This window comes from Homo sapiens, chromosome 5, assembly GCF_000001405.40.
Source record: "Homo sapiens chromosome 5, GRCh38.p14 Primary Assembly".
NCBI classification, from domain to species: Eukaryota; Metazoa; Chordata; class Mammalia; order Primates; family Hominidae; genus Homo; species Homo sapiens.
In genome coordinates this window covers 133,582,681-133,604,128 of record NC_000005.10, presented here as the reverse complement: position 1 = coordinate 133,604,128, position 21,448 = coordinate 133,582,681, and the positions used below count along the sequence as shown (strand labels likewise).

Genomic DNA, 21,448 nt, shown 5'->3' with positions numbered 1-21,448 from the left:
AAGGTAGAACAGAAGTTTGGTGCCAGGATTTAAACCCAGGCTTATCTGATTCTGGGGAACACATACTAACTCACTGTGACTTATTATATCCATCTCATAATGTTTTATTCTCAGCATTTGTCATTTCTTCAACAGACTCATCAAAATGAAACCAGGAGGCTTTTGGCTGCATCTCACACTGCTCGGAGCCTCCCTGCCGGCTGCGCTGGGATGGATGGACCCAGGAACCAGCAGAGGCCCGGATGTGGGTGTGGGGGAGTCACAGGCAGAGGTATAGTCAAATCCCTGCGGACATAACATTTCAAACTGATTGCTTTCCGATGTTACAGTATCTGATTTCCCCTCCACCTTTAGTTTAGATCAGTTAGATCACAAAGTGAATTAAAATTGCACTTCCTTTTTGGTGGGGACAGAAGAAGGCAACCTGTGTGGATACAGACAAGAGGTTGATAACACGATGTGAGTAATGGCTCTAAAACCTCTCAGATGCTGAAAGTGTATTCCGAAACCAAGCTTGAATTGCCTGGTTAGTCTCTACAAAGACCCTCAGGAGAATGGCCTTTCTGTATATTTAATAAAACTCTGAAAATGCAGAGTAATTGGTGGAGCACACCCATGTGAATTAGTGAAGTATTTTAATTATAAAATATATTTGAAAAGAAATGGACTACTTTTCAGGTATATAGATAGAAAGCACCAGGCTGAGAAAGAACTGGCAAGTGGAGGTCCTAAGGGAGAGTGCTTTAATGAACAGATAAGAATGATTAATGGCATGTTAGGTATATATAAATGCTTCTAAAGTGCTTGAAAAACTTGTCCTCAAATACCTCCCTGGAGAGTCTGGATGTTCTGCTAATTGCTTAGTGAACCCTGGTCTTATGTAGTAAAGAGGATCCATAAACTGCAACCTGGCCCTCTCCAAGGTAGTAGGTCCCATGAATTTGGGGTTCATGGGCAAAATGTATTTTTCTGCAGAAAATGCTTTGTGTGTGCTGACTCTTAAGGAATGACTTCACCCTTCCATTAAAACCACCTGGGATTTTCTCTATGCTGTGATGAATACTAATTCCTAATAGGCAGCTTTCCAGGGCACTTTTCCTCCCATTGTCTTCCTTGATGCCTGCCGTTCTCTTTTTCTTTGTCCCTGTTTCCTGTCCTGCGGAATGAGAAATAAAAATTACCTCAAAAAGTCAACATTCCCAGAGAGTGAATAAGGTTACTCAGTGTAGGGTAGGATTAATGCATTATTTGATCAAAAGACATGATTTCTCTTTCATTATTACTTAATTGTAATGCAATCCCAAACCTACCAGCCTTAATCTTTGGGGAGCCTCAGAAGTAATTTAATGTACACTTTTCCTGCAGAAGTTAGTGTGCCTTCCTTTTGTGGTGAGCAGATGATTAAACAGAAACGCTATCTCTGCCGTCTAAATCCATGAAGGACGCAATTTAATGCTCTTTTGAAAGAGTCTGGAGGCTGGCTTGCTGGTGAGAACAGCATTTCCCTTATGGGAACAGCTTTATCAGTACACTCATATCCATACCAAGAGAAAATGATCACTTAAATCCTACACATATATTGTTGAATATTTAATAGCAAAGCAAACAGACAAACACACAGGTAAGCTTAGTCTTCTTACTATTGGGGCTCATCGGCCCACTGTTTTAAACCACTTATTTCAAATAAAAGTATCAAGTCAATTAAGGTGGGATTTAGCTGGAGGTAAATTGAAGGTAAGTTAATATCAACCCAGGGCCTCTTTATCTTAGCTGTTAACACCCTAATTCTTTGTGTGCCAACAAGAAGGAGCAGATGCTGGTCATTGGGAGGAAGTAACGCTTTTTGGGGGTTGTTATCTTGCTCCCCTGCAACCCCTGCTCCAGGGTAGCTTTTGTCTTCCAAGTCCAGGAATGTTGCTGCTTCAGGAAAGGGAGGTGATGACTGTGTAGATTCTGCACCACAAGAACTATTGCCCTATTGATCATATATATAGTTTTTTGCTATAGCTTTTGTTTTTGCAGTATTATAACTTCTAATCATTGAAACTGTTTCTATCAGTGATTAAATGAGATGATAATAATGGGAATGGGCCTAGGGCTTAGGATGGCCTAGGTTAAAGGTTTAGCTGCAGAGAACAGAACACTTCCAGGTACGGTGGCTCACACCTAATAATCCAAGCAGTTTGAGAGGCCGAGGTGGGCAGATCACTTGAGCCCAGGAGTTCAAGACCAGCCTGGGCAACATAGCAAAACCCTGTCTCCACTAAAAATACAAAAGTGAGCTGGGTGTGGTGGTGCACTCCTGTAGTCCCAGCTACTCGAGAGGCTGAGGTGGCAGTACCACCTGAGCCTGGGGAAGTCAAGGCTGCAACAAGCCATGATTGTGCCACTGCTCTCTAGCCTGGGTGACAGAGTGAGACCATGTCTGAGAAAAAAAAAAAAGAAAGAAAGAAAAAGAAAAAACTCGAAGGAAAAAAAAGAAAACAGAGAGCAGAACATTTATTTTAATCGGTTTGTTTGCAGCCCTTGCTCACACTCTGTTCATCCCTCCATGCACCCCCATGCCCCTGCCCACCAGGGGCCTCGTGCAGAGCGTGCTGTCTCTCCTTTCTATGTCTTTGCTTTCTACACCTGACTCTCCTCCTCCTTCAGGGCCCAGCTCTGGTTCTTACTTTTTCTTTAGAACCTTCTTTGACCACTCTTGGTCACACCTGGTCTCTTTTTCTGAATTCTTAGTCCTTCCTTTCTCTTTTTGTTTTCTTACTCTTTTATTTTTACGTTAGCATATGGATGGAGCCTGTCTTATTTATCTTTTCTTCCTTACAGTGCCTAATAATTTTATAAGCAAAATAGAGGTTTGATGCATTTTTAAGCCAATCGATATTTATGTGACCTTTGGTCCTGGTCATAAAGTCACTCTGGTGCTTCCAAAATTCAGACCAGACCATCAGGTATTTCAGCGCAGGGCATACCTCCCTGCACAGCAGGTTCATTCCCAGTGGGGACGTGGATGGTTTTCCCCAGCAAATCTGTGAGCAGCCTGCAGGCCGGACAGGCTTGCATCCTAATATCCAAGATAGTCCTTGCGTGTTATAGTTTCTGGGTAGTTTATTATTTGAACTGTAGCTATTAATGTATCGATAACTCACAGTCCAAACCATATTAAACTCCTCTAGCAGTTTCTGCAGACAGTCTTATTTCCTGGAAGAATCAAAACCAGCAGAGTTTCCTGAGACTCTAAATAAGTGAAAAACCTTTTTCAGGAACCAGATATTAAAATGTTTCTGCATTTCTTCCCAGTAGTAGTACTTCACACAAATACTCATTGACTTAAGATTTTTAAAGTACTTAGAAAGCGTTAATAAGATTTGATTTACCTTTAAAGTTATTATACCAATTACTTGATTGACCTAAGGGTAAATAAGAATTAAATGACCAACGCGTGTGTGTGCACATATTTTTAAAGCAATTATAGCAAGTGTTAAATTATTGTTTTATGTACAAAGACTGCAGTGGAAATAGTTTCAAGGAGTTTACCATTTTACAGACATAGATAAAAAGAAATACAGCTGGGTGGAGTGCCTCTTTCATAAGAGTGGAGTGGCAGAACGTGCCCTAGAATACTAATGGAATTCTGAATTCAGAGGAAACAATTCTGAGAGGTACAATTTATTGAAATAATGAAATGTTGTTATATCCCCCCCCCCTTTATCCTACACAGATGCATTTTGACTTATGACGGGATTACATCCAAATAAACCCACTGTAAGTTGAAAATATCATAGGTCGAAAATGTATTTCATACACCTATCCTACCAAACATCGTAGCCTAGTCTGACCTGCCTTCAGCATGCTCAGAACACTGACATTAGCCTACACTTAGGGCAAAATCATCTAACACAAAGCCTATTTTATAATAAAATATTGAATATCTTATGTAATTTATTGAATACTGTACTGAAAGTGACAAACAGAAGGGATGTATGGGCACTTAAAAGTACGATTTCTACTGAATGTGTATCATTTTCATACTATGCTCATGTTGAAAAATCCTAAGTCAAACCAAACCTAAGTCAGGGACTGTCTGTACACTGGTCAAGATAAATATAGTAGTAAAATCAATATTGATAGAATTCTGTATTTGAGGGGGAACCAAGGAACCAGGAAGGGGTGAGAAGTGATATGGTAGCAGCCTCCAGAGAGCATACCTGCTTTTGAGAAATAGGCATTTGTGGGAGCCCCCCACTTTTGGGGCCTGGGTGCTGCAGTGGCCGCCCCCCCACTTTTGCAGCCTGGGTGCTGTGGCGGGAGCCTCCCCTTTTGGGGCTAGGGTGCTGCCATTGGAGCCACCCCATTTTTGGGGCCTGGGTGCTATGGTGGGAGCCTCCCACTTTTGGGGCCTGGGTGTCGTGTTCCAGCACCAGCATCTCACCCATTTGCTGGGCTCTGAGATTGAATGGTGGGCGTTACATGGTCTTATACGTCTTTCATGCATTTTACTGAACTTTTTCTAAACGACTCTTACCCATGGCATATACATAGTCACGTACTACATACCTGTACATGTTAATATTGATTCTTTCTTAAATTGTCACCTCATGTGCCTCAGTGCTTATAGACCAGAGATAGGTTTTGAGCTCAGACACCATGGGTTTTCAGTATTTGCAAATTCTCTCAAAGTAAAGTCTTTGCAGAAGAAATATGTGGAGTGGTGTCAGCTAACTTAAACATGATTCCCCGCCTCCCTAACCTCAGGGGTCAGCCTAAGACAGCATTGATCCTACCCTGACTGACCGGCCCCTTCCCCTTGCTACAAGTGTTGATGGCAGGCATGACACTCCTGTCCCCGCGAGGCATGGCAACCTCAAATTGCAGAGTCCCTTAGATGCTCCGTGGCTTCGTTCCGCCTTGGCTGGGCATTCAGTAGTACTTGGGCTGCTAAGACTGAGCACTGATTTTTACAAAAACACTTTCACTGTTCTTATGTATTCATTGTCTTAACGCTAGTGTCCCTCACCCCCAACCACCCTTTCTGATAAAATTCTCCCCACCACCCATAACCCTGACTGTGCTCTTTGACTGATTACTGGGGAAGAACAGCTGGTCGTCTGTAGGGCTTGAGATCTGCCCGTTGGTGTTTGTACTCACCCTGGCCCTCAGCTGGTTTGTGGGCATAAATAAAAGGAACTCCCTCTTCCCGGTGAACCAACGGGGGTCCAAGCTGGACGTTCGCATTTTCTTAAGCCTCACCTACAGTACGTGTGCATCTCTCATGGCTTTTCTGCCACATCACCCTTGTGATACTCACCATTGCAAATTCTAGTACTTGACTTGCTTTCAAAGAAGATGAGACCCTGGGCAAGGTCTCTCAGCAAGAGGCGAGAATGGTCTCCCCAGGGCCGTGGACCCTGGGATAACCGAACCACGTACTCCTTTCAAAAGGATCCAGAACTTCCTCTGCAGGTGCGGTGCTGGTTGATGTGGGGGCCACTTCTCTGGGCCCCTAACACTTAGCCAGGGCTTTCTGCTGATTATTCTGAGTCAGAGGATGTGGATATTCGTTTTTCAGGTACAACTGGGAGGGCACAACCTCCCACCTATAGACGTTATCAGTACATTTATAATTTTCAAGGCAAATGATGGTGGCAGAACCTCCCAAGGTCTCAGGGGCATTGGGATTAACCCATTCCCAATTGCAGAATGGGGTGTGCTGTAACCTGTGCCAGCACCTCTTGAGATGCAATGTGCTTGTGAACGGTCTGGGATCTTGTTAAAATGCAGATTCTAATGCAGCAAATCTGAGGTGGGTCCCAAGATTCTGAGCTCCAGGTGATGCTGATACTTCAGATCCTGGGGGACACTGGGAAGAAAAGCCTTAGAGGAGCCCCCTGCCTCCTCGCATGCACACACACAAGGAGAATCCCAGTTGGATTGACTCTGGCCTTTTTTTAGTTCTTGCTGACATGATGCTGACTGCAGTCAGGGAAAGGAGAGAAATGGGCAGGCTGCAGTCATGCTGGAAAATAGCTTGATGAGACTAGCTTAGTGGGCAGGTAGGTGATGGGAAAGATGAACTTAAACAACCTTGGTTCTAGGGTCATTTGCACCTGTTTTCAAGCAGCTGGACAGGTAACTCTCACTCTTGGAACCCGTGGCTCCTCCCTGGCTTGTCTGTAGGTGGTTTTAAATTCTGAAAGAGGTGATTTTAAATGCTGAGGCTTAGCCCACACCCCCTGCTCCAAGGACCAACAGCGCACTCACTTCTTGCTTACCACCGTGGCTCCCCTTCTGGTGTCCTATCCCATCTCTGTCCCTAGGCCCAGCCAGCCTGTTTTGGGGATGAGCATTGCTGCATTGGTGAGCTGTTTTGGAGTCTTGTTTTTCTCTTTATCCTTGAACAGGGAAAGTCACTGTCTTTGTTCTTTGTGTCCTCTCCACTGCTCCCAGCCAGCCCTTCCACACTGTACCAGTTAGTGCACTGTGTGCCTCTTTGGTATTTTGAGATCATAGTTGACAATTTTAATTGGCCCTGAAAAGTTCTGTGACCCAGGAAAATGAGCATTTATGAGTTCACAGAAACCCATTATTTTTCTTCCTCTTAATTTAGCATTTACTTGTCTAACTACTTTATTTATTCCTCTGTTGCTAAATTATCTATACTCCTGTAGGAAACTTCCCACCCTTGTAATGAAGACATCAGGCTGTGCATTGTAAATGGGGCTCCAATTTCTATTTTTCGGGGAGTTGGCAGCACAGATCTGCCAAGTCCCAATCATCTGCTTGATTTATCCCCTACACCCTGTGGGTTGTTGCTTTTGCTTCCCATTTGGATGGAAGTAAATGTCGTCCTTGTGTCAGGCAGGCTCTAACAAGGCCCAATGAGTGGGCTCTACTCTTCAGGCCTGCCAAGCCAGAGCCATTGTCCTTCTGCCTCCATGGCTGTGGTCTCTGCCACTGGCTCCTGGGCTTTGTCTTGTCACCAGCCACCTGGGAGGTGGAGCATACTGGAACTAGACATGGAGGATGTGGGAGGATATGGGCCCAGTGCTCTGAGCAGGCGACACCGAGAACACTGTGGTGGGTGCTGGCACATTGGTGTTGGGGGGAGGAAGTGTGGCCAGGTGGCTGAGAAGCCATCTGTCCACCAGCCTCGCCTCTCTCTTGATGGGTAGCCATCCTTTGGGGCATTCCCTTCAGTCAGGAAGGTCTGGAACAAGAGAAACCCAATGTCTTTCCTCCTAATAAAAATCAGCCTTGTTTTACTCCTGCCAGGAGTGTGTGCTCTTGGCAGAGGTGAAGAATGAGTGTGAGTGGCCTGCGGGGCTGAGGTCTTCCCTCAATCACAGGGTGAGTTTCAGTTTGATCTTGCACAGGGGTTGGGGTTGGGAGAGCTGGTGCTGGTGCTTGCTTTGGTTAGGAGACTCTGAGAGCATTGTCTTCCCTTGGTCGGTGGGACCGGGCTAAGGTAGCACCTGTCTACCTGCTTGATGTTGTGTCTAGACACTGAGCCCTTGGCTTTTCTTCCTTTGTTCCAAGAGGGCCTTGGGTGCAAATCGAAACCCTTCTGGAGGGCTTAGCTGGAGACGGAAGCTGCCATTGTTGCTTTTGTTAAAATACTTTGAAGGTTAAGGTTTTGTGTTATTTGGGATCTAGATTGAAAACTGTGTGTATTTTTCTTTTTAAGAGTTGAGAATGGAAGTCATATTCTATTTCTTGCAAAAGCCCTTTCCAGAGAATCAGTGAGACCACCAGTGAGTCTGTGATGCAGCTGACAGAAGCGCCTCCCCACCTGTGAGGGAGTTGGCCTAGCCTCAGAGGTGACAGACGCCTCCAGCACAACCCACGCTTCAGCCCCAGCCAGGGGCCTGGGCCCCTGAAGCATGGCCTGCTTTTTCAGAGGACGTCTCTTCCCCTGCTCAGGCTGAAAGTCCTCAGTGCTTCTGGTGGCCTGCTTGGCTGGTGGCAGGGCTAGCTGCTGGTATAGGCAGGCTGATGTGCACGGCTCTCTAGGCTCCTGGGAGAAATGGCTGCTGTCCTCCTCCCCCACCATAGAACCCTGTTAACTCTCACCTTGTGTGTTTCATGTTGCCACTTTCTCCTCCAGGATGTTTGTTGTTTTAAAACCCCACAATTGGTTTTTCCTGTTGGGGCTAAATCACTTTGCCTCTTGCCTGTGCTGCCGCCTAAGGCATCCCCGGCCCTGCCTTTGCTTCAAGTGCACCCTCAACTCAGAGGGCCCCGGAGGCTAAAATCTGTTTGTTCCCTAGCCAGCTTTGGAGCTAAGGGAATCGCCCTCTCCAGCCTTTAGGTTTGCCACGAGTGAAATACAGGCAATATAACAATACCATTTTCAGGGTTGTCATGAGCACTAAGATGGTACATGAGGTGCCCGGCACAGATTGCCTCCACAGAACACAACAGACAGAGCTGTGGTTTTGTGTTTGTCATCCCAGAACCTCAGTCAGTGGCTGTCAAGAAGACTGTGCGCCCTTCCTGAGCCACAGTCTGATGTGTCAACTTCAGCTGCTGCAGTTCTTGTCACTGCTGGCCATGGCCACATATCACGTAGCAAGGCAGCCCTCAGAGTGGGAGGGTCCTCTTTCCAGTGGAGTGGTAAATATCTTGGGACTGGGCCCCATATCCTCAGTGTCCAGAAAGCCTGGCACACAGCAGGATGTTCAGATATTTGTTGAATAAGTGAACGAGTCAGCCATCTTTTACTATTCCTTTTGTCATCGTATGGGGTTTGGACAAGGTGTCTTGAGTTTTGGGACTCCTTACATAAGAAATCCCAGGAGATAGTCACTGGACTCCCTTGGGCTTCCACATCTGATAGAATCCCATCAGTTTCAAATCTTCTTAACTTTCTTCTTGAACCAGGAGAGGCTTCAGAGAATCGTATGGGATGTGTGTAGGAACAGGTGGGACCCTGACTCAGTTGCCATCCCCTTCCTAGAATGGCTTTGAGGGCCTGCTTGGCTCTGACTGTTTCCTCTGCAGAGGCCAGCATCACTGGCAGGCAGCCAGACCCTTGCCAAAACCATGAATCCAGAGAGTGAAATGTAAAGTCAAACAAATGCAGGATGCTTTGTTTGTGCTTAGAATTTTCAGGGTCAGTAGAAATAGTCTGTGGCTCCGGGGTAGGTGGTTGCCAGCCATCCTCACAGAGGGCAGAAAGGAGCAGAACTACTCTTTTAAAATGTCATTAAGTAGGTATAAGACTCCTGATGGCTTTCCTTAATGCCAGTCTTAGGACAATTGAACTGAAAGCTTGTTTGAGCTCTGCTATCATTTAAAGCTTGCTCTCTAAGTAAAGAGAACAGAACTCTTTTTCCATTTATTTCTCTTTCTGGCCTTGCATTTAAACGTCCTTGAAAACTTTGGTCTCTATAGAAAAGATGTCAAATTTCTGTTGGTTCTGCTGATGCCACATTTTGAATGTCCATTCCAGGTAAGTAGGCTTTCATGTGGGGATGCTGGGAGGTGTCAAACGGGAGAGGCCTGCCAGGCAGATACTCTAATTAGAGTGGCTCTAAAATATGCCCCATGGTGCCTCCTCTTCTTCCTCTGCTATTTTCTGTTTGGTTGTTACTGCTGTTCTCATATTAGCATTTGAAGAGTGAAGAGCAGGCTTCTGGCCGGGTGCAGTAGCTCATGCCTGTAATCCCAACACTTTGGGAGGCCAAGGCGGTCAGATCACCTGAGGTCAGGAGTCCGAGACCAGCCTGGCCAACATGGCGAAACCCAGTCTCTACCAAAAATACAAAAATATTAGCTGGGCATGGTGGCACACACCTGTAATCCCAGCTACTTGGGAGGCTGAGGCAGGAGAATCGCTTAAACCCAGGAGGCGGAGGTTGCAGTGAGCCAAGATCATACCACTGCACTCCAGCCTGGGCAACAGAGTGAGACTGTCTCAATAAAAACAAAGTAGGCTTCTCTGCTTCATGCTTGAGTGTTCATGCCTGGCAGTATGGCTTAGGATCATATCTTTGTGTCCTGAAGCAGAAATTCCCATTTGACTTTCTCTTATCCCTACCTAGAGGGTCTCTGAGCCCTGGGCTGGCTTGGCCAATCGGGACATCTGGTTGACTTAAATCTTAGTAATCAACAGACACCCACTGAGCACCTAGCTGTGTGCCTGGCCCTGTACTAAGGCTGGCTAAGTGGTTGAAGAGAAATGGGATTTGTGATTCTATCCTTGAGGCTTGAGGGCCATTGGGGTGGGGGTGGGAGGTAGGAGCAATCAGCTGCTTCAGAATGGATTCCAAGTTAGCAGAAGGAATCACCTACATTAGTTAATGATCTTTTTCTAGTCTGTATATAATGTCGAAATTAAGATCTCAACTTTAGCCTAAAGAAAAGTGGGCATATTTATTAAGTAATAAAGAAGGAAGTACATCTTTATTAGAAAGAAGTACATCTTAATAAAGAAAGAAGTCCATCTGCCTCCCGGATTCCCCACGCCTGGTCCCAGGACACTTGTGCTCATAGTCCAGACATTCCCTGTCCAGGTGCATGTGGCTGATAGCAGATCTGGTATCACAGGTTTGTCCTGGCCCCTGGCTCAGCTGTTCTAAAGTCCTTAAGAGTGCGGGTTGGGGGCTGGAGGAAGCCGGAAGTCTCTAGGTGTCACCTGCATAGGATGGACATAGTGCTGAATGCAGCAGCCCTCTGGTGTCCAGAACCTCCACCAGCCCCCTCCTTTACCGTCCTTCAACACTCCCTCCCAAAACTTATCCACCAGAGCCTGTACTGCTCTGGGACCTCTCCCCTGAAGTGGTTCCACCTGATATGGCTGTGTTCTTGTTGGCTCAGTGACACCTAAGCTCTCCTCAGAGGACTTGGGCTGGCAGTGTAGAGGATGTGGGTGCTCATTATTAGTGGTGGACAAGTTTCAGGGCCAGGGGTGGTGTTGAAAGAGGGTGAAGAAAGGGGCTGTTGAGGTTCTGGACACCCACAGGGCAGCCACATTCAGCACTGTGTCTATCCTATGTGGGTGACACTTAGAGACTCCCAGCTTCCTCTGTCGTCCTTCATCTTGCTTAGGGTACTGCAGCATGTGACACTACCACCCCGGTGGCCAAAACTGTCCTATTGGAGGTCTTATTCCTTGCTGTAGAGTTGCACCTTGGTCCAGGTATCCTTCCTGGTCCAATTGATTGTGGCCAATTGTCTTAGCCCATTTAGTGTTGCTATAAAGGAATAGCTGAGTCTGGTAATTTATAAAGAAAGTAAGTTTATTTGACTCATGGCTCTGCAGGCTGTACAAGAAGCATGGCCCCAGAATCTGCTTCTGGTGAGACCTCAGGAAGCTTCCACTCCTGGTAGAAGGTGAAAGGGAATGGGTGTGTGTAGAGATCACACGGTAACAGAGCAAGCAAGGTGAGAGTGAGAGGTTCCAGGCTCTATTTAAAAGCCAGCTCTCTTGGGAACTAGTAGGGTAGGACTCACTCATTGCTGCAAGGATGGCACCAAGCCACTCCTAAGGGATCCAACTCCATGACTCAGACACCTCCATTAGGCCTCACCCCCAACACTGAGGGTCAAATTTTGGCATTAGGTTTGGCGGGGGACAAACATCCAAACCATAGCACCAGTTGTCCAGTAATTCTTAGGAACAGAAACACTTTTATGACCATGCTGACTAGAACAAAATTATCTGTGATTCGTTATCCATTCCAGATGAGAATGGTATATATAATTTAAATCTGAATTTATTCAAAATGACTGTTCTTGTGTTACAAGTAAAGATGATCATGAACTGCACTGTACAAGAAATTCTTATCTGATATCTCACCGTGGGATTATGAGAAAGAAGAAAGAATCATCACAAACAGCTTTAAGAATGTGGTGAGCACAATGGTGAGCGGCGAATGCAGCACAAAGCATATTTAGTTAGCAGCACAGGCCAAACCGTGGGTGACGTGAGAATTTAGCACAGAAATGCGCTGGGTGGAAGGTGGGATTGGGAAGGACCTCTTGGAGGCAGAGGTACTTGGAGAGGAAGACCAGGATCTGGGTGGGCAGAGTATTAGAGTATTTAAGGAGGAGTAACCCTCAGAGTCTAGGTGTAGGGTGGAATAGGGCCATATCTGTCAGGAGGGGAAAACGGAACAGATTGGTTAAGGTGGGTATCTGGGTCTGTGAGCCAGGGGATTCATCAGGGACGCTTTGGTGGCCAGGAGCAGAATCGCCTGCTAACATGCTCATGTACAAAGAAGGGTTGTCATGAGGCCCCAGACCTTCTCCCAAAGCCAATGGCAGGATGCCTTCATGGGCTCAGGCTTAGAGGCATTGGAAGTCTGTCTCCCAACTCCCTTCTGAGCCACACTGTCTCCCTTCTCCATTTCTCCCTCCTCTGCCTGTTCTCTCCAGAGACTGGTCTTTCCAGAGAGCTCTGAGTGTAGCCCTTGCTGCAGCTCTGGGCCCCAGACTGTCTCATTTGAGTTCTGTCTGTATCCTCAGGTTCTCAAGGGGCAGAGCCTTATTGGCTCAGCTTGGGGAAATATCTTCCCAGATCCATTTGCCTGTGGCCAGGAGGCAGGTCCCAGTGGGTGAGGGGCCCTCCAGGGGCTCTGAGGGGAGGATGTGGGTGCAGCGCTGGGTGGCTCTTGTGAAGGAGTGGCAGGAGGTTATTGTGGGTGGAGGACAGTTGGTGAGGCTGCAGAGCCAGCCTCAAACCTCTCAGCAAGCACACAGAGAAACGTGAGCCAAGTTTGTATAAACATGGGGCATTTTATGGAGTTGCATTTTTGGATCTTCAGAGCAGGGGTTGGCCCTGGCAGTAAGGCCTGCCTTGTGCTGTTAAATCTTTGCTCCCCTGCTTTGTTTGCCTGCCTTCCTCTCCCTGTCTTGTCAGCACCCTCGCCATACCCTACCTCACCAACCCGGCCTGTCTGTGGCTGGGCAGCTCAGAAGCCCAACTTATCCATTCCTAGGATGTCCCTGCAGACAGGCTGTAAAACAGGCTTGGCCTCCACAGGCCGACTTGCATTTTGCCAGTCACTACCCTGGTCCTCCCCTCCATCCTGGTGCCAGTGCCCTTGGCTCCTGGGGTACTATGGTTGGAATGTGTTCCCCAAAAAGCATGTGTTGGAAACTTAATCCCCAGTGCCACAAGTTGGGTGATGGTGCCTAATGGGGGTGTTTAGGTAACGAAGGCTCCATGCTCCATCCTCAGGAATGCCGATTACAGAAGGGCTTGAGACTGGGAATTGGATCTCTTGCTCTCTGTCTTTGACCTTTCACCATGGGAGTATGCAGCAAGGAGGCCTTTGCAAAATGCCAGCCCCTCAATCTTGGACTTCCCAGACTCCAGAACTGTGAGCCAATACATTTCTGTTCATTATAAAGTACCCAGTCTCAGGTATTCTGTTATAGCAGCACAAAATGGACTAAGGCAGCCTGTGTCCACGCCTGACCCATCAAACTCACTAAAGGGGAGCAGGCTTTGGTGCTCAGTTGTGGCCCTGTGACTCCAGAGATACATATCCTGTGGCTGTAGGGAGCTCCTTAGTGCAGCTGCTTTGAGGTTTAGCTGGAATCATTCTTGGAAAGAAAGAGGGGTTACATGGGAGGGGAGTCATGGCTTGACCAGATGCCTCTTCTTAGAAGGTCCACCACCCTGCCAAATCCAGCAAGCAAAATAGTTGAGCTGCTGTGGGATAATTTGGCCTGTCATCATGGAAGACAAGATGAGATAGATGCACTCCCCACCTCCCCAGTTCTGAATCTCAGCTTTGCTCCCAGCTAGATACAAAGTCTTATTGCATTAAAAATTTGGTTTTTGTTGTGATATCTCTTTCTGTGTAGCCAAGAGTTAGAGAGGGCTAGGGAACCAGGGACATCTCTAGGGTGAGGATGAAAGGGGGCAGTGTCATCTGGAGCTCTGGGCTGGAAGTCTGAATGGCTCCTCTTATCCTTCTCTTATAAGAATAAAGAGGAAGATCATGCCACTGCACTCTAGCCTGGTGACAGAGCGACAGAGCAAGACTGTGTCTCAAATAAATAAATAAATAAATAAATAAATAAAGAGGAGATTCCCAATAGGAATTCTCATTCCTAATATGAATTTCTTAATTCCATAGCTATTGATATGATAGAATTAATAAACAGCTTTCATTTTGCCAAAGCACTAAGTAGATTAATTCATTGACTTCTCAAAGAGAGTCTATGAGGTATTATTAATTTGTTTATTTTACACATGTAGAAATTGAGGCTTCAAGATAAGTGAGCTGTTTGAGATCTCCCATATAGTAAGTGGTGGAGCCAGGGTTTGCATCTGGCTTTCTGACTATCTAGCATGTATTCCTAACCACAGTATTGTGCTCTTATCCCCAAGGACATATTTTTGAATCTAGGGAAAGGACATTTGATGACATTGAGCTTTGGAAGGCCAAAGCAGACAACGTCACATCAGAGGAGGCATCCCCTCCTCCTGGAGGGCAGCAGAGTTTGAGGTGGTCTTCTGGGGCTGGGCGGTGGGTGGCCTCTTGACCTTCTGTGGGGAGAGATGAGTTCTGCCCCTATTCCCCCTCCTCCCCAACAATTTCTCTTCTTTCACCATCAGGCAGCCACTGAACCTCTGAGAATTAACATATTAACATTCCTTTGGCTATTTCCTTGCACTTCTTCCAGGATTCCACTGGGGACTTGGCAGCTACTGCCCTCACATGGGACAGTGAGGGCAGTGTCTGTGGGTGGAGGACTAAGTGTGTGATATTTGGTGGTCTCTGTTTCTGCTTTTAAGAATTGGCCTTGGGAAGTTCCTAAGGGTTGACCACAGCAGTCTCCCTTTCAGAAGCAAGGTTCTGGGGCCTTGATCTTTTTTTTTTTTTTTATTATACTCTAAGTTTTAGGGTACATGTGCACATTGTGCAGGTTAGTTACATATGTATACATGTGCCATGCTGGTGCGCTGCACCCACTAACGTGTCATCTAGCATTAGGTATATCTCCCAATGCTATCCCTCCCCCCTCCCCCGACCCCACCACAGTCCCCAGAGTGTGATATTCCCCTTCCTGTGTCCATGTGATCTCATTGTTCAATTCCCACCTATGAGTGAGAATATGCGGTGTTTGGTTTTTTGTTCTTGCGATAGTTTACTGAGAATGATGGTTTCCAATTTCATCCATGTCCCTACAAAGGACATGAACTCATCATTTTTTATGGCTGTATAGTATTCCATGGTGTATATGTGCCACATTTTCTTAATCCAGTCTATCATTGTTGGACATTTGGGTTGGTTCCAAGTCTTTGCTATTGTGAATAGTGCCGCAATAAACATACGTGTGCATGTGTCTTTATAGCAGCATGATTTATAGTCCTTTGGGTATATACCCAGTAATGGGATGGCTGGGTCAAATGGTATTTCTAGTTCTAGATCCCTGAGGAATCGCCACACTGACTTCCACAATGGTTGAACTAGTTTACAGTCCCACCAACAGTGTAAAAGTGTTCCTATTTCTCCACATCCTCTCCAGCACCTGTTGTTTCCTGACTTTTTAATGATTGCCATTCTAACTGGTGTGAGATGATATCTCATAGTGGTTTTGATTTGCATTTCTCTGATGGCCAGTGATGATGAGCATTTCTTCATGTGTTTTTTGGCTGCATAAATGTCTTCTTTTGAGAAGTGTCTGTTCATGTCCTTCGCCCACTTTTTGATGGGGTTGTTTGTTTTTTTCTTGTAAATTTGTTTGAGTTCATTGTAGATTCTGGATATTAGCCCTTTGTCAGATGCGTAGGTTGCGAAAATTTTCTCCCATGTTGTAGGTTGCCTGTTCACTCTCATGGTAGTTTCTTTTGCTGTGCAGAAGCTCTTTAGTTTAATTAGATCCCATTTGTCAATTTTGGCTTTTGTTGCCATTGCTTTTGGTGTTTTGGACATGAAGTCCTTGCCCACGCCTATGTCCTGAAAGGTAATGCCTAGGTTTTCTTCTAGGGTTTTTATGGTTTTAGGTCTAACGTTTAAATCTTTAATCCATCTTGGATTGATTTTTGTATAAGGTGTAAGGAAGGGATCCAGTTTCAGCTTTCTACATATGGCTAGCCAGTTTTCCCAGCACCATTTATTAAATAGGGAATCCTTTCCCCATTGCTTGTTTTTCTCAGGTTTGTCAAAGATCAGATAGTTGTAGATATGCGGCATTATTTCTGAGGGCTCTGTTCTGTTCCATTGATCTATATCTCTGTTTTGGTACCAGTACCATGCTGTTTTGGTTACTGTAGCCTTGTAGTATAGTTTGAAGTCAGGTAGTGTGATGCCTCCAGCTTTGTTCTTTTGGCTTAGGATTGACTTGGCGATGCGGGCTCTTTTTTGGTTCCATATGAACTTTAAAGTAGTTTTTTCCAATTCTGTGAAGAAAGTCATTGGTAGCTTGATGGGGATGGCATTGAATCTGTAAATTACCTTGGGCAGTATGGCCATTTTCACGATATTGATTCTTCCTACCCATGAGCATGGAATGTTCTTCCATTTGTTTGTGTCCTCTTTTATTTCCTTGAGCAGTGGTTTGTAGTTCTCCTTGAAGAGGTCCTTCACATCCCTTGTAAGTTGGATTCCTAGGTATTTTATTGTCTTTGAAGCAATTGTGAATGGGAGTTCACTCATGATTTGGCTCTCTGTTTGTCTGTTGTTGGTGTATAAGAATGCTTGTGATTTTTGTACATTGATTTTGTATCCTGAGACTTTGCTGAAGTTGCTTATCAGCTTAAGGAGATTTTGGGCTGAGACGATGGGGTTTTCTAGATAAACAATCATGTCGTCTGCAAACAGGGACAATTTGACTTCCTCTTTTCCTAATTGAATACCCTTTATTTCCTTCTCCTGCCTGATTGCCCTGGCCAGAACTTCCAACACTATGTTGAATAGGAGCGGTGAGAGAGGGCATCCCTGTGTTGTGCCAGTTTTCAAAGGGAATGCTTCCAGTTTTTGCCCATTCAGTATGATATTGGCTGTGGGTTTGTCATAGATAGCTCTTATTATTTTGAAATACATCCCATCAATACCTAATTTATTGAGAGTTTTTAGCATGAAGGGTTGTTGAATTTTGTCAAAGGCTTTTTCTGCATCTATTGAGATAATCATGTGGTTTTTGTCTTTGGCTCTGTTTATATGCTGGATTACATTTATTGATTTGCGTATATTGAACCAGCCTTGCATCCCAGGGATGAAGCCCACTTGATCATGGTGGATAAGCTTTTTGATGTGCTGCTGGATTCGGTTTGCCAGTATTTTATTGAGGATTTTTGCATCAATGTTCATCAAGGATATTGGTCTAAAATTCTCTTTTTCGGTTGTGTCTCTGCCCGGCTTTGGTATCAGAATGATGCTGGCCTCATAAAATGAGTTAGGGAGGATTCCCTCTTTTTCTATTGATTGGAATAGTTTCAGAAGGAATGGTACCAGTTCCTCCTTGTACCTCTGGTAGAATTCGGCTGTGAATCCATCTGGTCCTGGACTCTTTTTGGTTGGTAAACTATTGATTATTGCCACAATTTCAGATCCTGTTATTGGTCTATTCAGAGATTCAACTTCTTCCTGGTTTAGTCTTGGGAGAGTGTATGTGTCGAGGAATGTATCCATTTCTTCTAGATTTTCTAGTTTATTTGTGTAGAGGTGTTTGTAGTATTCTCTGATGGTAGTTTGTATTTCTGTGGGATCGGTGGTGATATCCCCTTTATCATTTTTTATTGTGTCTATTTGATTCTTCTCTCTTTTTTTCTTTATTAGTCTTGCTAGCGGTCTATCAATTTTGTTGATCCTTTCAAAAAACCAGCTCCTGGATTCATTGATTTTTTGAAGGGTTTTTTGTGTCTCTATTTCCTTCAGTTCTGCTCTGATTTTAGTTATGTCTTGCCTTCTGCTAGCTTTTGAATGTGTTTACTCTTGCTTTTCTAGTTCTTTTAATTGTGATGTTAGGGTGTCAATTTTGGATCTTTCCTGCTTTCTCTTGTAGGCATTTAGTGCTATAAATTTCCCTCTACACACTGCTTTGAATGCGTCCCAGAGATTCTGGTATGTGGTGTCTTTGTTCTCGTTGGTTTCAAAGAACATCTTTATTTCTGCCTTCATTTCGTTATGTACCCAGTAGTCATTCAGGAGCAGGTTGTTCAGTTTCCATGTAGTTGAGCGGCTTTGAGTGAGATTCTTAATCCTGAGTTCTAGTTTGATTGCACTGTGGTCTGAGAGATAGTTTGTTATAATTTCTGTTCTTTTACATTTGCTGAGGAGAGCTTTACTTCCAACTATGTGGTCAATTTTGGAATAGGTGTGGTGTGGTGCTGAAAAAAATGTATATTCTGTTGATTTGGGGTGGAGAGTTCTGTAGATGTCTATTAGGTCTGCTTGGTGCAGAGCTGAGTTCAATTCCTGGGTATCCTTGTTGACTTTCTGTCTCGTTGATCTGTCTAATGTTGACAGTGGGGTGTTAAAGTCTCCCATTATTAATGTGTGGGAGTCTAAGTCTCTTTGTAGGTCACTCAGGACTTGCTTTATGAATCTGGGTGCTCCTGTATTGGGTGCATAAATGTTTAGGATAGTTAGCTCCTCTTGTTGAATTGATCCCTTTACCATTATGTAATGGCCTTCTTTGTCTCTTTTGATCTTTGTTGGTTTAAAGTCTGTTTTATCAGAGACTAGGATTGCAACCCCTGCCTTTTTTTGTTTTCCATTGGCTTGGTAGATCTTCCTCCATCCTTTTATTTTGAGCCTATGTGTGTCTCTGCACGTGAGATGGGTTTCCTGAATACAGCACACTGATGGGTCTTGACTCTTTATCCAACTTGCCAGTCTGTGTCTTTTAATTGCAGAATTTAGTCCATTTATATTTAAAGTTAATATTGTTATGTGTGAATTTGATCCTGTCATTATGATGTTAGCTGGTGATTTTGCTCATTAGTTGATGCAGTTTCTTCCTAGTCTCGATGGTCTTTACATTTTGGCATGATTTTGCAGCGGCTGGTACTGGTTGTTCCTTTCCAGGTTTAGCGCTTCCTTCAGGAGCTCTTTTAGGGCAGGCCTGGTGGTGACAAAATCTCTCAGCATTTGCTTGTCTATAAAGTATTTTATTTCTCCTTCACTTATGAAGCTTAGTTTGGCTGGATATGAAATTCTGGGTTGAAAATTCTTTTCTTTAAGAATGTTGAATATTGGCCCCCACTCTCTTCTGGCTTGTAGGGTTTCTGCCGAGAGATCCGCTGTTAGTCTGATGGGCTTCCCTTTGAGGGTAACCCGACCTTTCTCTCTGGCTGCCCTTAACATTTTTTCCTCCATTTCAACTTTGGTGAATCTGACAATTATGTGTCTTGGAGTTGCTCTTCTCGAGGAGTATCTTTGTGGCGTTCTCTGTATTTCCTGAATCTGAACGTTGGCCTGCCTTGCTAGATTGGGGAAGTTCTCCTGGATAATATCCTGCAGAGTGTTTTCCAACTTGGTTCCATTCTCCACATCACTTTCAGGTACACCAATCAGACGTAGATTTGGTCTTTTCACATAGTCCCATATTTCTTGGAGGCTTTGCTCATTTCTTTTTATTCTTTTTTCTCTAAACTTCCCTTCTCGCTTCATTTCATTCATTTCATCTTCCATTGCTGATACCCTTTCTTCCAGTTGATCGCATTGGCTCCTGAGGCTTCTGCATTCTTCACGTAGTTCTCGAGCCTTGGTTTTCAGCTCCATCAGCTCCTTTAAGCACTTCTCTGTATTGGTTATTCTAGTTATACATTCTTCTAAATTTTTTTCAAAGTTTTCAACTTCTTTGCCTTTGGTTTGAATGTCCTCCCGTAGCTCAGAGTAATTTGATCGTCTGAAGCCTTCTTCTCTCAGCTCGTCAAAATCATTCTCCATCCAGCTTTGTTCTGTTGCTGGTGAGGAACTGCATTCCTTTGGAGGAGGAGAGGCGCTCTGCGTTTTAGAGTTTCCAGTTTTTCTGTTCTGTTTTTTCCCCATCTTTGTGGTTTTATCTACTTTTGGTCTTTGATGATGGTGATGTACAGATGGGTTTTCGGTGTAGATGTCCTTTCTGGTTGTTAGTTTTCCTTCTAACAGACAGGACCCTCAGCTGCAGGTCTGTTGGAATACCCTGCCGTGTGAGGTGTCAGTGTGCCTCCCAGTTAGGCTGCTCGGGGGTCAGGGGTCAGGGACCCACTTGAGGAGGCAGTCTGCCCGTTCTCAGATCTCCAGCTGCGTGCTGGGAGAACCACTGCTCTCTTCAAAGCTGTCAGACAGGGACACTTAAGTCTGCAGAGGTTACTGCTGTCTTTTTGTTTGTCTGTGCCCTGCCCCCAGAGGTGGAGCCTACAGAGGCAGGCAGGCCTCCTTGAGCTGTGGTGGGCTCCACCCAGTTCGAGCTTCCCGGCTGCTTTGTTTACCTAAGCAAGCCTGGGCAATGGCGGGCGCCCCTCCCCCAGCCTCGTTGCCGCCTTGCAGTTTGATCTCAGACTGCTGTGCTAGCAATCAGCGAGATTCCGTGGGCGTAGGACCCTCTGAGCCAGGTGTGGGATATAGTCTCGTGGTGCGCCGTTTCTTAAGCCGGTCTGAAAAGCGCAATATTCGGGTGGGAGTGACCCGATTTTCCAGGTGCGTCCGTCACCCCTTTCTTTGACTCGGAAAGGGAACTCCCTGGCCCCTTGCGCTTCCCAGGTGAGGCAATGCCTCGCCCTGCTTCGGCTCGCGCACGGTGCGCACACACTGGCCTGCGCCCACTGTCTGGCACTCCCTAGTGAGATGAACCCGGTACCTCAGATGGAAATGCAGAAATCACCCGTCTTCTGCGTCGCTCACGCTGGGAGCTGTAGACCGGAGCTGTTCCTATTCGGCCATCTTGGCTCCTCCTGGGGCCTTGATCTTAAGGAGGAGGTAAGATTCCCAGCATTGGCAGCCAAGTTGGTTACTGTGATACCAACTGTGGTTACTGTGAAGGGCTTTTGGAGGGTCAGGAAACCCAGTGGGAATGTGCTGGTGTTTGCTGACTCTTCCACTGGCCGCTGGAGACAGCAGCAGGGCTGCTGCTGAGATGAGGCCAGAGGCAAGCTCATGTACTTCTGCTGGAGGTGCTGCCATGGAGGGACAGCCTCCTCCTTAGAGGTGGAAGTGTCAGGCACCCCCAGGCACACTGAGTACTAAAGATTGGTTGAGCTGTGGTGGCTCCTTCAGAGTATGCCCCTTTCATCTAGGTGGATGAGCACCCCTGCGCTATGGGATGGCCATGGCTAGTGAGTGGTCAGAGCTGCCCATGAGTGAGGAGAGGAGGGCATCTCAAAGGGCAGGACAGGGATAGCCCAGGGACATACAGGGCCCAGGACAGATGAGGTATCTATACCTGCAGAAGACCAAGTGGAAGGCATCCTGGCATTCAAGTGGGTTGGAACAAATGAGCCAATGGGCAGCCCCAAAGGCTGAGAGAAAGTCATGGGTAAGAGCCTAGCATGGAAGGAAGAAGA

General features: G+C 45.7%; 1 protein-coding gene across 3 annotated transcripts in view, besides 3 other annotated features; it reads left to right on the top strand.

Annotated features, from left to right (window-relative positions):
* FSTL4 (follistatin like 4) overlaps nucleotides 1–21,448 on the top strand; it is a 645,613-nt gene that overhangs the window by 237,939 nt on the left and 386,226 nt on the right. For all 3 annotated transcript variants that reach the window (XM_011543283.2, XM_011543284.3, NM_015082.2), the window contains exon 2: nucleotides 136–271. In XM_011543283.2, coding sequence (XP_011541585.1) covers nucleotides 146–271 — 126 coding nt within the window. In that variant the 5' untranslated portion in view covers nucleotides 136–145. The remainder of the gene's footprint in view (nucleotides 1–135; nucleotides 272–21,448) is intronic.
* Nucleotides 730–1,315: an enhancer, noted in NCBI's record as "OCT4-NANOG-H3K4me1 hESC enhancer chr5:132938505-132939090 (GRCh37/hg19 assembly coordinates)". NCBI's record gives its function as "activates a minimal SCP1, AML or CMV promoter by ChIP-STARR-seq in naive and primed H9 embryonic stem cells {active_cell/tissue: H9 hESC(naive and primed)}" and the evidence as "EXISTENCE:reporter gene assay evidence [ECO:0000049][PMID:30033119]".
* Nucleotides 19,964–20,655: an enhancer, noted in NCBI's record as "NANOG-H3K27ac-H3K4me1 hESC enhancer chr5:132919165-132919856 (GRCh37/hg19 assembly coordinates)". NCBI's record gives its function as "activates a minimal SCP1, AML or CMV promoter by ChIP-STARR-seq in naive H9 embryonic stem cells {active_cell/tissue: H9 hESC(naive)}" and the evidence as "EXISTENCE:reporter gene assay evidence [ECO:0000049][PMID:30033119]".
* Nucleotides 20,656–21,348: an enhancer, noted in NCBI's record as "H3K27ac-H3K4me1 hESC enhancer chr5:132918472-132919164 (GRCh37/hg19 assembly coordinates)". NCBI's record gives its function as "activates a minimal SCP1, AML or CMV promoter by ChIP-STARR-seq in primed H9 embryonic stem cells {active_cell/tissue: H9 hESC(primed)}" and the evidence as "EXISTENCE:reporter gene assay evidence [ECO:0000049][PMID:30033119]".